Here is a 14,574-nt window from a genome sequence, read left to right as displayed (position 1 = left end):
AATACTATGACAACTTACGAAATAAGTAAGTAAAACATCTTGCTGAAAATGGAATGAAAAGATTTCCAAGTGTATGACCTCCACTGCAGTTAGGAAGCATTGTCCTTTTTAACAGAAATAAAACCCTCTTGCCACAAACAGTCACCGTGATGTGTTTGTGGGATGTAGTAAGAGCAAGGTCATGCCGTAATTGAGAATTACAAGTTGATGTTACAACTGGAGTGAGTGCCAAGTGTTCCTGCTTACACAGGTGACCCGTTCAACCCACCAAAGACCTGGCTTTTGGGTAGGAATGTTTGACAGGGGCGGGAAGCCAGGCCAGGTGGATCTAGGAACAAGTTGGTGAGATTCTTCAGGAATGCATGTCAGTTTATTTGCTGCCTATTAATTCTACCTAAGCCTCTTTGAAAAACTCTTGTCCCAGGGAGAAATAGGAGATCAAAAAGCAAATCATTTAGACTATTTTAAATAATGTCTGTGTTACTTATTGGTTATGCCCCAGCATAACCAGTTGTTTATAATAATTTTATTATATGAGTAACAATATAATAATTGTTACTCATTCTTGATTCTGATATAGAAAAGATGTACTTATATTGTTCTCTTTGTCTCTCTAGACTAAAATATTGTTATTTTATACTTCATACCAACTATCCTCTTAGTTTCAAGTTTACAGTAACTCAATATTGTGGTCTGAGTGAATGTGGCTTTCAGACTTAGCCTGTGTATTAACTGTTGGTGTGAAGATCTCGGTGGGTGAGCTTTCCTTTCATTCATAGGACAGTGGCAGTTCAGGCCTGGCATTAAAACTGAGCTAGATTTGTATGCGTCTCCTGCTGTGGCAGTTGGTTTGTTAAATTCCATATCTGAGCTCATGGCCTCTGATGGTACTTTTTGTCTTTCATTACATTTAAAGTAGCTTTTGGTGATTTATCACTGAATGCTCTGCAGAGTTCTCTAAGGAAATTCCATTTTCCTTAACGTACTTTGGAACTATAAGCATTCCTATAGAGATTTGTTGGGTAGGATAATTGCAAAACACATCAGTAATAGGTAGAGGTTTAAATCCTAGGGTTCCTTGTTCTTATCCTATAATTCTCATTGTTTACAGAAACCACAATAGCTGTGTTAAATTTAAGATACCTTATAGATTATAGAAAACATTCTGTAGTTATGTATGTCTAGAATGTGATTCATACTTACCAGCCATGTTCTTTTTCATGTTTAGCGTGCTTTGCTAACATTCATTAATATTTAAATCGGATTCTTTTCCTGTGGGCTTTAGATGCTAGGGATCATGGCTGTGGTTTTTTTTGATCATGCAACACCGTGTATTCATGCAGAAATTATTTGATGTGACACTTAAAGTCAATGGACTTTTATAGATATACATAATAGATGCTACATTATGTAATTGAAACAGTATTTGGAAATTCCATTTTATAATAATTTATTCACTTACTAACAATATTTATTGACCACCCACTGCGTGCCAGGCCTGTGCAGGATACTGGGGCGACAAGATAACCATTTTTCCTGCTTCTCTGGTTCAAAAGGTCCATGGGTGGCTTAGACAGGAAGTAGGGCAGAGCAAGGCAGCGCTGTGACATGGGAAGGGCCCTGTCATTGAGGCTGGAGGCGCTTGGAAGACTATGGAGGGGCGGAGGGATGGGCGTCCCTAAAGAGCTCAGCACGTGGAAGGCCCGGAGTGGAGGAACACATTCCACTGGAGGAACTGGGTGGGGGTCAGCTCACGGAGGGAGAGCCAGAGTGGGTGGGCAGAGGCTCGGGCCTGGGGTCTAGAGAGCACCAGGTCTCCTTGTTGAGACTCTGAATTTCTTCCCACAGGGGATAGAGAGCCCTAGGCAGGGCTGACACCGTCAGAGTTGTAGCTTGAGAAGAATGAGCAGGTCACACGCTACTGAGAATGGGCTTAGTGGTTCCCGGCAGCAGAAGCAGGTCTTTGGAGGCGCTTAGCTTGATCCCAGCGAGAGATAAGGTGGCCTGAGCTGGCATGGGGCCGGAGAGAGCGGGTAGATTTGAGGGACTAGAACAGAGGGATTGGGCTTGGAAAGTGAGGGACAGGAGGGAATGGTGTTGACCCCAGGTCTGGCTTCAGGCAGCTGGCCCCAGGGATGACCCATTCCCCTGAGGCTGGAAGGAGGAGCAGGATAAAACATTTCCAGATAGAATTCAAGGTAAGTTTGAGAGCTTTGTGGAAACCCAGGTAGGAATGTCTAATAGGCAGGCGAAGATACGGGTTTATAGTGGAGAGGAGAGATCCTGGCAGAGACTGTATCTAATAGCTGTCAACATTTAAATTCATTGAAGGTCAGCCAGTTCTACTCTGAGAGACCCAGATAATATAATCTATTGGGTTATTGAGTAGAGGCTTTAACTTTGATCCTCTACCATAGACATATAATGTAACCTAAGTTCCCTTATCTGTAAAATAATGATAATGGTGCTTATTTTGTATACTTGCTGTGGAAATCAAGTTAGGACATACACCACAGAGCACACATTCAGTGTGACCTCTTGTCATTTAGTCTAAAAATAAGCAATTTTCCTTAATAACTGGAGGAAACTCACATACTTGGAGAGCCTTTCTGTGGTGAGCACACACGTGAACACATCTACACACATACTTACGCCCGTGTAGACAGATGGCTGTCATTGATAAGCCAGTTGGTAGATGTTGCTTATGAACTCAGTTTGATGGCATGTTTTCTTTACTTGGTGTCTTGTGGCTTTGTCGGAACCTGCCAGCGTGCTTCTCTTTGTTTTGTTTGGTTTAAGAGACTTGTCGTTAATTATTCATTAAAGAGAGGATGCAGGAAAACCGTGAGTTTGAGAAAAGTGTTGTCAAGATAGGCATAGTTACCTCATTTGCTGCATTCTGTTCAAAAGCCCTCCGGTTGGTAGACAGACATGGTTGGTTTTTGTAGAACAACTGCCCTTACTTTGTCATATTAATATTTGAATATTCTATACTGGAAAATTCTGAGAAATTGTGATATACCGTCTATCTCAGCAAAACAATTCAACAGGCACGAGGGCCAGGTAAATCTGCTGAAATTGATTAAATTCACCATAGGTTAGAATCAGGAATAAATAATTAAAGTCAGTTTAATTGATCAGCACACACCTGAAGCTTGAAGAGAAATAAAGTAGTTTCCTTTCGTGGTGACACTAGTGGCAGTCTTTTTCAGCACACGCACTGTTTAAGCCTCTTCCATGTTATATACACATACTTGAAGACTGTAGAGGAGGTTATGAAAACCAGATAGTCAAGCAGCCATTTCTTTCTGAACACCTTCCTTTGGTAGGTGGTAAGGGTGGAAAGGATGCCTGGAGCCTTGGAAGGCAGAGATGGAGGATAAATAACAGGGCTTCCCGTAGGCTGTGGATGCTCACAGCACACCCCTTTAGGCATCTCACTCTTTTGCCTCGATCGTAGACAAGCTAGAAGATGGTGAGAGGGTCCGGGCCCTGGGCCTCAGGAGCCCAGCTGTGAGGGCATCCGCTCTTGTGGGTGATTCTTCCAGCCCGGCGGTGGCACCGGTGCTTGTCCTTGGTGCTTTTACTGTGTTTTGGATTAAGATGGTTCCAATATCAAGGACCGCTGATCCTCCAAATCAAATTCTAAATGAGGGAAAGAGCTCATGCATGTTGTCGTTTAAAAGATGCTTGGTCATCCATTTAGCACAACTGAATAAATGTTTAATTTCTAGTAATCATCAGCATTCATCATTAGAAAGAACACTTTCTGAAAACAATATGTTGAAATCTGGGTGTTTTGTCCTGTGGATGTTAGAGGAAAAACTAGGAAGTTTCTTTAGTGTTGCAGAGAAATTGATTTTTTTTGTTGCATTGTTGTTAAACATTAGAAATTAAAATGATTTTTGAAACCAAGAAAAATTATTCACCCCAACCTCGTGGTTTTGGGATTTATTGAAAGACCAGAATGTCTGCTGAAATATGAAATCTGGTGTTTTGATTTGTTTGGATTCCTTGCCAGAATTTAAAGACTATGATTAATAGTTTATTTCTTATTATTCTAAATGTTATTTTAAAATGGTTAAGCTGGATAAATAATTCCATTAATCAAAATAACAGGAAATGAAAAAACAAATGGCGACCTAATTTGTCTCATTTTTAGCTGTGGCTATTATAATGCAAATGATGGAGAAATCACGTAGGTTGGTACATTTGAATATATGCATAATCTATTTTCAGTATCACTTTCAGAGTCTCAGCATCACAGATCAGAGTTTGAAATTCAGCTCATTTGCTTAAGCTTTTCTTATTTATTAAACCAAACAAGCATCTTAAAACACATTTTCCATTTTCTCTAAATATAATATGCTACCAAAAATCATGAATTAGACTTGGCGAATTACCCAAAATCCCCCCAGTCACATAGCCTTTGTTTACTTATGGTTTGTTGGGTAAAGGTTTTAGTCAGTAAAGCATTGTGCATAATTGGTCCTCAGGCACTTAGCATTGCCTGCGTGGCTGACCACAAGCCCTGTTTACAGGCTGACCTCCCTCTGAAGGCCGAGAGGTGCCCCGTGTGTCCTGGGGCATGGCAGGTTTTTTGTGTGCGGGGCATCGATCCACACCCACCACTACATACACATTTCCCTTGCCTTACTAAAAGAAAGAGAGAAAGTGGACCTCGTGAAGTCCCAGTAGTCAATATCCATCCCTAGAACACTGAAATACCTTCAAGAAAGATAGTATGTCTTTCAGCATTACTGAAAAGCCCACAGTTCACAGCTGCAGAAAAGAAAAGCGAAATCTTCCGAAAGCTTCTCATGTTTTGACTACTCTTTCCCTTCCAGGAAGACAAGGCGATGGTGGGCGTGCTCAAAAGATTATAGTGTGTCCACTTAATTTGAATATTTCTCTGCCTCCTTTCTTCCCTGTTTTATTCATTTCTTAAAAATGCTCTAGGGCTGCTTTATTGAATAATAACATGGTGGCCTCCGGTGAATCAATAACTTAAAGCAACTATCTTAAAAAAATGAGGTATTGGAACACATCCCTTCAGTTATGAAGAGAAAATGGGCGTCTCTGCATCTGGATTTGTGAACACAATTTAACCACCTAGTTGTTTGGCTTATCCCGACTTTGCAGTGCTTCCAAAATAAATATTTTTAAAGCCTTCTGAGCCCTGTAATATAAAACGTTAGCCCTTCATGGACGGAGGGCCGTCTTCCTGTTGCCTCTGGAACAGTCCATTGATGCCTAACCCAATGCAAGTCTGTGACTTCTGGTCCAAAAGAAGAGCTACCCAGGTGGATGTGCCCTGGGGGTGCTGTCCATGTGCAATCTAGGCACACACAGCACCTGTGTTCACAGGCATCCCCTGCCCGCCTCTTACGGTCCCTGACGTCTATGTTTGCTATGCAGAGACGGTCAAGGCCAAACACCCAATAGCTAACTATAACTCCCAGTTTTCTTTGGTAAACACGAAGACCATTTTCCTTCCAGAATGTATTTGGAATTGGTTCTTAGTGAGCCCTGTTGATGATGAATATTTCCCATCAGAACCTCAGAGATGTCTTCACGGCCTGACGTCACTGTACAAAAATGTAAAACAGTCTTTGTCCGTTTACTGCAGGAAATTCACCATCTACTTAGGGAAGTTTTATCACATCTCTCATTCCATTACTGTTTCCTACATTTCAAATAAACTGCTGTCTCCACCACTTTGCCCACCCCCTAACCCCTCGTAAAATTTTGTCCAGTATCTTTCTGACTTCCACTACATGCCAACTGGTAGATGTCACAAACACAGAGCCAGCTGTAAGTAGGAGTTTTCTGGAACTATTAACTAAAGAAAAGCCCTTAATTCATTATGTCAACCAGACCTTCCCCCACTCCGCCATTATTTCTGGGGTTCCTATAGGCATAGCTGGAAACAGAATTTTACACGAGTCCCTTAGTTTATGTATGCATGTTAATTTCCACTGGTCAGTTTCACTTCATCAAGATTTTAGCTGAAGGTTAATGCAGTTAAGTAAGATTAATCTGGCCATACTGTTTCTGTCCTCAGATTGTAAATGCTATTGTTCAAACAGGGATGCTTCAAATGTCATTGGAGAGCATTCTCTGAAAGCTGTGGACCCCCATTTATGCTTGGTTTTCTCTCGCAGTTCACTTTAGAATACTCCTTCCCTTTTTCCAACTTGGTAATTGTTTATGGAAATGGGTGAACACGCTCTGAAGTTCTGACAGACCTACGTGAGAGCCGTGCTCTTCTTTTTGTTTGTATGACCCCCAAATTCAGCCTTGTTTTGGAACTACCGTTCACTTGTAAATCTGCTTTGTACTATACAGTTTTACAATCTGGCCGCCTCCTCATCTTGCCAACTTGTAACCTTCTCTCCAGAGCTGGTTCAGACACTATCATCTGCCATTCTTACATGTGAAACCATTAGAGAAGCCTAATGATCCTTTCTAAATCACACTGGAAATGATTCGTTTTCAAGCTGCCTCTCTTTAAGGCAGGAAGGCACATTTGAAATACTTGCTGCTCATTTTATGAAATGAGTTACAGCTCAGGTCAGGGGGTCTTCGCCTACTTGGTTGGCTTGCTTTGTGAAGGTCATTGTTTGTGTTCTTGGATGTTGATTAGAAAATTAATAGGAAAAATGCATTTAGAAACCAAAAGGCAGAAATGAGCTTTTCTCCTGTTCTTTCCTTTTTCTCACCCAGGGGAGAGACCATTCTAACACAGGTACCGTCCAGACAGTGCCTCTGAGAAAGGGAACCTAAAGGCGTGTTTCCGACGCACCCCAGGTCCCCGTAACGGCCATTAGCAGTACCCTCACGATGTCCCAGCAGCCTCCCACCTGTGACCTGGCCGCTCCATGGAAGAACAGCCGGGGAACTCCTGAGCAGACACCTCACATCCCGAGCCGCTGCGCTGGAGTGGAAACTGAAGGCAGATGCCTCTCCTTGTTAAACGTTCAGAAATAAATGAAGATGCTATATTCTAGAAATACATGTAGATACTATATACGCATTTACGTGCTCATCGTCCATAGTCCCATATTTTCTTATAATAAACAGTAGTACTGGCAGGCACAGTAGGGGCACAAGGCATCTGTCTTATTCAAGACAAGTTTGAGACACTGGAAAAAAAGATACTTGTTGTGTGTGTTGGACAGAGTGGCGAGGCTGAGCACTGTCACAGGGGCCTCCCATGTTAAGAGGGACTGTGGGGATGATGTCAGAACAAGACGTGGTGGATTTGAGGTTGATCGAGTATTAATACTACTGCCTCTCCTTGTCTTAGTGGGTATTTAAAATAGTAAATAAGAGAGAGGAAGGAGGTGACGTTCAGGTGCTGTGGGAAGCAGGCTTGGCGGAGGGGTATGATGATGAGACCCTCATTGTTCACTGGCTCCATCGCACTCCTCCCTGGGGCCGTGTGCCTGTTCCATTCTTCCCACCATTCGAACTGAGCGAATCTGGCAAAGGAGACACGTCTGTGGGAATGCGTAGATTCCGCCTCGGAAGAGAGCTAGCGCAACACTAAGAAAAGCAGGCTTCTTGTTTATTCTCAGGACCTTTTTGTAACAGGGCTACATTCTGCAAACTGCTTACAAAGGAAGACTATACGTCTTAACAAATTATTTAGCCACTGAGTCCTCCCGATTCGGACCTGTTTTAGTAATGGCAGAAGAATCCCTGAGCAGGTTCAGGTGCCCTAGATGACTAGGGTGCTGAGCTCTGGCGCCTTCTGTCCCCACTCTTTGCCTCCCCGCCCCTTCCCTGAGCCACCCCAGCAAGTGGGTGTCTTTTCTCCCTGGGCCTGGTGACCTCCACAGGATGAGTGACTTTGTTCATAAAGGGTGGGGATCACCAGCCCCTTGGGTGGGGGACGGCTTCATATACCTCTTCCTCAGTAATGCAAATGCGAGTTTTTGTGGTGGGGGTTAAGGCCCATAACAAAGGATCTTAAACCATGCAGTGTACGCAATTGAAATGGTATTCCACAGATATAAATATTTTCTTTTCCCATTGCCGTGACACTATGTGTGATGGTAATATTTCTGAGAGTTTCAGATTTTTGCACATATGATTTTATGCATTATCAAAAGTTACTGCTGCCTTGAATGAAAATGTTCTGTGAAATTTTTTGCAAAAGCTTTACTAGGTTTTTTTTTAATTGTGAAATTTTGTAAAGGCAGGAAATGGATTAAAACGAGCATGCTAAATATATTTTTCAAAAAAGCAATAATTTTACATGTACAGAAATTATCCTAACCTTTAATACTGGCGAGAGCAACAGTTTACTTAATACGGTAATGGACTAGTGCAGTTTTTGTAGACAGTGGGCTTCTGATACAAAGTCTTGTTTAAACACAGACACACACACACACAAACACACACACACACCCTAAAGTGTGGGTTTCCTGTTCTAATGATTTGTTGAATATTATTATATTATTATTATTATTATTATTATTATTGTTATTGTTATTAGTAATGTTTGGTTCTGGATTCTACTTGTTACTGAGTTTAAATTACTTGACGGTTCAGGTTACTTTGCAACACTTTCAAACGATGCAATGTAACTGGCTAGCTTATATATATATATATATATATATATATATATATTTTTTTTTTTTTTTACTTATTTTTTTCTGATATTCTTACACCAGATATGTACGAAAATGATCTGTCCTGTTGGTGTAATTAGGAATGTCCATGCAGATACAGTTAAACAACTGTAATTGACTGTTCTGTAAAGTTATTTTGGGCAAAGTTGCGGAGACACATTCCTCTGTCCACCTAAGAAATCAGAAGACTCTTCTGTTGATTTATGTTTAATCATTTCAGTAGTTTCCCCACAGTGATCATTTCTGCATTTTCTGGCTTTTGTTTTCTTGGCTGAAAGTGAATGGTGACTGTTAGGAATGTCAGGGACTAGTGACCCAGTCCTGTTTCTCTGTGTTTTAGTTATTAAAAAGAAATTCTGTACCCAAAGTGACACGAAAGTGTAGTCTACATTTTTACTGTTTCAGAAGCGGCATGGAAAAGTGCAGTTGGCCTTTGGAGCTGGAAGTGTCTTGCTGGTGAGGCTCCATCCTGGAGGCTCTGGTGGGGAGTGGGCTGGCGCTGGGGCCCTGCCGGCCGCGTGCTGGATCCTTCCTGGCTTGCAGGAGAGCAGGCGTGGAGGACAGTCAGCTTGCGGGGCCGCGCAGGGTGCACAGAGTGCAGGAGGAAGGTTTTCACCCAGTTAAACAGACTGGGGAGCCCCCCCAAGAACGCCATCCCTTGAGGCCAGCTGTGGGCAGGCCTGGATGTGTGGTCCCTTCCTTCCACCCATCGTCAGTATTGTGTTGGTTTGTTAATTTGTTGATTTGGTCATAGTATTTAATATGATTTGTGTTTCCTTATTTATTTAGCCACCGTTTTGATTGCCTTTTTTTTTCCGAATGGTAATTTCTGCATGATACACTTCTGTACGTTGTCTTCTGACTGTTACAGACTTTCTACTACCTCTCCCGATCTGCTGTTTCCTTGTTTCTTAACAGGATTTTTTACAGTGTTGCGTCTAATGTAACTTAGACAATAAAGGGTTTGGTTGTCTACACTGCAGCTTCTCGGTGTCTCTCCCCTGCTTTCCGCTCGCTGCTTCCCGCTCTGCCCCTGCTGGGGCCTGGCTGCACCCTGGCCTGCCTTCCTATACTCTCCTGTTTCCTGCTCATATCTCTTCCTCATTTTTGCGTTCAAATAACACACAGCTAATGAGCTTCTAAAAATCTTTTCAGGTTGTTCACTTGTATTCCTTAATTTGAAGAATGAATATTTAAATTCTCTCAAAAGTCAGATATTGAGGATCTTCTCTGGGAAATTGGCCACTGTACCTGCCCACCTTTCTGCCTGGTTCCCTGGAAGGTCTTATTGTCATCTTAGACGGACAGATTTCATTCTCAGCACCATACAGATTTGGCTTCAAAGCCAGGTGAATTTTGCCTTTGAGGCTCTGAAAAGTATTAAGTGTTTTAAGAGGTCCCCCAATATTTACTTATTTATTTTTTAAACCAAGAAAGACACTGGTTCCCTGAAAAGCAGGTGCTTCAGGAAGTAGCAATTGGGAGTTGCATACAGTTACTTCGTCAGAGAAAGGAGCGCCCAGTATGACAGGCCCCCACCCCTGATCCGGCCACTGTGCACAGGTCGCTGAGGGTGTGAGAACACCTCTGCAGGGGCTCCGGCACATGTGGGTTTCATCGTCTCACACTCCTTCAGGCTGCAGGGGTTGAGTGCAGAAAGGGCAAGCTTCATCTCCATGGTGCCTCTCCAGGCTGGCAACTCTGGTCGGCCTCTGTTCTTTGGACAGAGAGGGTGTAGGTTACAGGGTCAGTAGGGATGCTTTCTGGATCAAAGAAAGTGGGTGTAGTGCTTAGTCTGTTGTGTGGAAGAGGGCACCTCCTGGGCTTTCGTGGCTGGAGACTGTCTACCAACATTCCTTCCTTCAAACTAGACAAACCCTCCTCTGCCACCCCCAGCAAATTCTCAGAGGTTTCCAAGCTGTAGAAAAAGGAAGGAAGGAAGGACGGCATTCACATAGCTTTACTTTCTGCTTCAAAATGTCTTAAGTAGCATATGTTGTTTTACTGCTTTTAACTTTGGTGAGTTCTAATTTCAGAACGTTTTGTTCACTGAGCAAAAAAACAGATGAAACAACCACAGGCCAGGACTTCAAGTGAGGAGGACGCCTTTGTTTGCCGTGGTTGGTGGGAGCACACGCCGGAGCCCGGTAACGTGCCTGTGGGAGTGACCAAGGGCCACCCGCCCAAGGGAAAATGTTCATTCTTCATCAGCTTTGCTAATTCTGCTTTGAGGCAGTAAAATGCAAAAGACCATAGAATTTGTATTTCTTTTTTTAAAATACAATTTATAACATTATATTTTGTACTCTTTATATTAGAATTTGTAACTAGATTGATGTATTTAACTATTTCTGAAAAAGTAATTCAATGTTTTAGTTGTGTGATAAAAATATTTAGATAAAACATATTCATTCTATTGGAATTTGAAATAAATAAAAACATCTTGGAGTTCTGAGATTTGTAAGACATTTTTCCCCAATTTCAGAGGGTGGCGTAAATCGTTTGACAGCCCGCTTTGGTCTGTGGTTATTTATTTTTGTTGGCTGAACATAAACCAAAGTGTTAATGCTCTTTATTTATGGAAGAGTTTTAGGGTAATTCACAAGATCGTTCATCTGAACAGATGCCCAGATGGCCCGAGTGGTTTTTTTCCAACTCTTTTGTGGACTCGAGGACATACAGTTTTTTAATGGAGACGCTGTGTTTTTCTCATTTTCTTTCACAGCACACATGTTATTTCCCCACTGAATACACCCACTGTTCTTACCCTTGCACTGTCACCCATACAGGACGCACAGGGATGGACGCGGACGGAATTCTGACTCAGCCACACCTGGAGGAAATTATTGTGTCAAAAATGTGGGGACACAAGGGCTGGCACTGTGGTTTGCAATGGTTTACTGATGAGACAGCAAAAATGAGACAGGACCATCAGATGCAATAAAGATTCTAATTTAAAAAGATAAAATGTGTTTTAAAATTAAAAGATAGAACTGTGTCTCTACTGGCTGAGGAAAGAACAGACTAGATAAGTTCCCGAATGTGGCTTTCCAGATGTGCTGGGCAGGAAATGGAACTCTGAACAGCACTGGGCGTCCTTCCCCCAACCGGAGCGTCTAGCCTTGGGTACGCCACTCTGCGCTGGGTACGCCACTCTCCGCTGGGTACACCACTCTCCGCTGGGTACGCCACTCTCCGCTGGGTACGCCACTCTCCGCTGGGTACGCCACTCTCCGCTGGGTACGCCACTCTGCGCTGGGTGCGCCACTCTGCGCTGGGGACGCCACTCTGCGCTGGGGACGCCACTCTGCGCTGGGTGCGCCACTCTGCGGTGAAAATGCTGTTGTGGAAGCCCGAAGGCCTTTGATACTCTGAAAGGCCCTTAGATGAAGTGCAGACCTTGTCTAACTCTGCTGAGGTTTATGCCTCGCTGTTTAGAACCTCCCTCCTCTTGGATGGCTGGTTCTTCTGAGACGGGCGTGCATCCGAAACGAAGTGGCAACACCAAAGTCCTTAATAGGTAGCTGACATTGAAGTGAAGGGCTAAGAACACTTGTGTTAGGACAAAACAAAACCCTGGCCTACATCTCTCTGTGTCACCTGACAATGGTCAGTTCCCCTGGTAACACAGGAGCTTATTGGTGTTCCTGTAGCCACATCCCAGACCCTTTGGTTCCACAAGTAACCAAGCTCCTTCCCCCAGAAAGCAGTATTACATCCTCCTTTATCCACCTCCTGATCACCCAGCAGTGAGGGCGCGACATCTACCCTGGCTGCTCTGGGCATCTTGCTGGGTGGGAAATGGGTGAAAGGCAGTGGCGCGGGGTCTCCGTGTCTGCAGTTTGCCCATGTCGTGCTAGGTGCGGAAGCTGGGTATCATGACGCCCCCCACCCCCAACAATGTAAAACCTTACCACGAATGGCTGCATTCATCGCAGCACTTTTATTTTCCCTTCCTTAGCTGTTTGAAAACAGTGGTGCATTTCTAATGTGTGTTATTAATGTTCTCAATCTTACGTTTTTAAAAGATGTTACTGTAAATTACAGAAAGAAAATGCGAGATGCCCTGGTCTTTACCAGCGTGACACGTTCTTGGGATGTCCGATTTCCTCACTGTCTGCTGAGGCACAGGGGCTTAGGATGGCTTTAAGGAAGGGGAACTTCCTTAGGAATCTGGAGCAGGTGACAGTCCCACATCCCTCTGTCTGATTTCTTTATGGGTAGGGAAAATGTAGTGAAACAATCACAATGAGAATGCTGTCTTAGTCCTTTCAGGCTGCTATCACAAAATACCTAAGATTGGGCAATTTTTAAAGGTATTTTTTGCTCAAGTTCTGGAGGCTGGGACATTCATGATCAGTGTGGCAGCAGGTTCCGTGTCTGGGGAGAGCTTTGCACTTTATAGATGGAGCCTTCTTGCTGTGTCCTCGTGGAGTAAGAGGTGAACAAGCCCTCTCGGGCCTCTTTGATGAGGGCCCTGCTCCTGCTCCTGAGAGCTCTGCCCTCATGACCCTGATCACCTCCCGAAGACCCCACCTGTTGATGCCAACACATTGGGTGTCAGGTTTCAACGTATGAAATTCGGTGGGAACACAGACATTCAAACCGTAGCAAATGCTGTCTCCTGTTTTCATTTTTCAACTGAGGGAGATGTGGAGATTCCCATTCCAAGCCCTTGGGTGGGTTATTTCATCTGCCAAGAGTAAATTCTTCATTGCCAACAGTTTCAAGTTATAAAGGGCAAGAGGACAAGGGGACTCCATCTTGCCTTTTTATGTGCCCAGATTTGTCCATGGAAGACCAGTATTCAGGTCACAAGCATGAGACCCACTTGACTTCGTACATCAATCTCCTTATGTCCTGCTCTTCCATTCTATAAGAGTGGCATTGGTGGACCGGAATGTTCCCAGGACAGGGTTACCGAGTCTAAAGGGAGGGTTTAAGACAGACTTCGCAAAATTAGATGAACCGCTGTGAAATATTTGGAGGTCTGGCATGGGTATTTTGCATAGTAGAACTGTTGATGTGTGGTGGAAGGAACAGGCTGATGGTGCCTCAAAATAAAACGTCACCTGTAGGTTAGGCTGTGCAGGAGTAGATGACTCGCCCTGACCCTGTGTCTTAGCAGAAGCTCGACATTCATTTTTAAGGAATACAATATTAGAGTCCTTACTCAGAGAAGTAAATTGGAACCAGATAAACATGCAAGTTTCACTTAATCAAAAGATCTTAGGCTTCTTTAAAATTGTAGAAATGGTACAGAAAGTTTTCAACCTTATGAATTTGCTTAACAAATTCTGTGCCATGTGGTAAGCACTGAAATAGGTGCAGGCATAGAAATATGAACAAAATGGAACCTGCTGTTTGGGCTGTCACAGTGGAGGAGGAACATGGGTCTAAAAATGATGAGTTCTAGGCCAGGCACCTGTAATCCCAGCTCACACCTGTAATCCCAGCACTTTGGTAGGCTGAAGTGGGCGGATCACGAGGTCAGGAGATCGAGATCATCCTGGCCAACATGGTGAAACCTCGTCTCTACTACAATTAGAAAAATTAGCTGGGCATGGTGGCACGTACCTGTAGTCCCAGCTACTCGGCAGGCTGAGGCAGGATAATCGCTTGAACCAGGGAGCCAGAGGTTGCAGTGAGCCGAGATCGCACCACTGCACTCCAGCCTGATGACAGAGTGAGACTGTCTCAAAAAAAAAAAAAAAAATGAGTTCTAATTCAGAGGGAATACATACAAGCTCACAATGTCTGTGGAAGAGGAATGGAGCCTCTTCCATTGGGGAGTGAGGTCAAGGATCTAATCAGATACCCAGGTGTCACCAGGACTAGGTGACACACACCTGAAACTTTTGGAAGGATGTGATATAATGGGGTAATTAGGTGGCATTAAAACAAAACTTGCCTCTGATAGTAAACCTTAGTTGAC

At 43.5% G+C, this 14,574-nt stretch overlaps 1 protein-coding gene across 16 annotated transcripts in view, besides 2 other annotated features; it reads left to right on the top strand.

The window, feature by feature from the left end:
• Positions 1-11,602, top strand: part of ZNF516 (zinc finger protein 516) — a 138,738-nt gene extending 127,136 nt beyond the window's left edge. For 15 of the 16 annotated variants that reach the window (XM_047437953.1, XM_047437952.1, XM_011526273.4 and 12 more), the window contains one exon: positions 6,727-11,602. In XM_047437953.1, coding sequence (XP_047293909.1) covers positions 6,727-6,786 — 60 coding nt within the window. In that variant the 3' untranslated portion in view covers positions 6,787-11,602. The remainder of the gene's footprint in view (positions 1-6,726) is intronic. The other variant, XR_007066258.1, reaches the window with a different exon arrangement.
• Positions 6,405-6,904: an enhancer, noted in NCBI's record as "H3K4me1 hESC enhancer chr18:74074335-74074834 (GRCh37/hg19 assembly coordinates)". NCBI's record gives its function as "activates a minimal SCP1, AML or CMV promoter by ChIP-STARR-seq in naive H9 embryonic stem cells {active_cell/tissue: H9 hESC(naive)}" and the evidence as "EXISTENCE:reporter gene assay evidence [ECO:0000049][PMID:30033119]".
• Positions 6,905-7,406: an enhancer, noted in NCBI's record as "H3K4me1 hESC enhancer chr18:74073833-74074334 (GRCh37/hg19 assembly coordinates)". NCBI's record gives its function as "activates a minimal SCP1, AML or CMV promoter by ChIP-STARR-seq in naive H9 embryonic stem cells {active_cell/tissue: H9 hESC(naive)}" and the evidence as "EXISTENCE:reporter gene assay evidence [ECO:0000049][PMID:30033119]".

The sequence above is a fragment of the Homo sapiens genome, chromosome 18, assembly GCF_000001405.40.
Source record: "Homo sapiens chromosome 18, GRCh38.p14 Primary Assembly".
NCBI lineage: Eukaryota > Metazoa > Chordata > Mammalia > Primates > Hominidae > Homo > Homo sapiens.
Note: the sequence above shows the minus strand (reverse complement) of the source record. Positions and strands in the feature narration are given on the sequence as shown.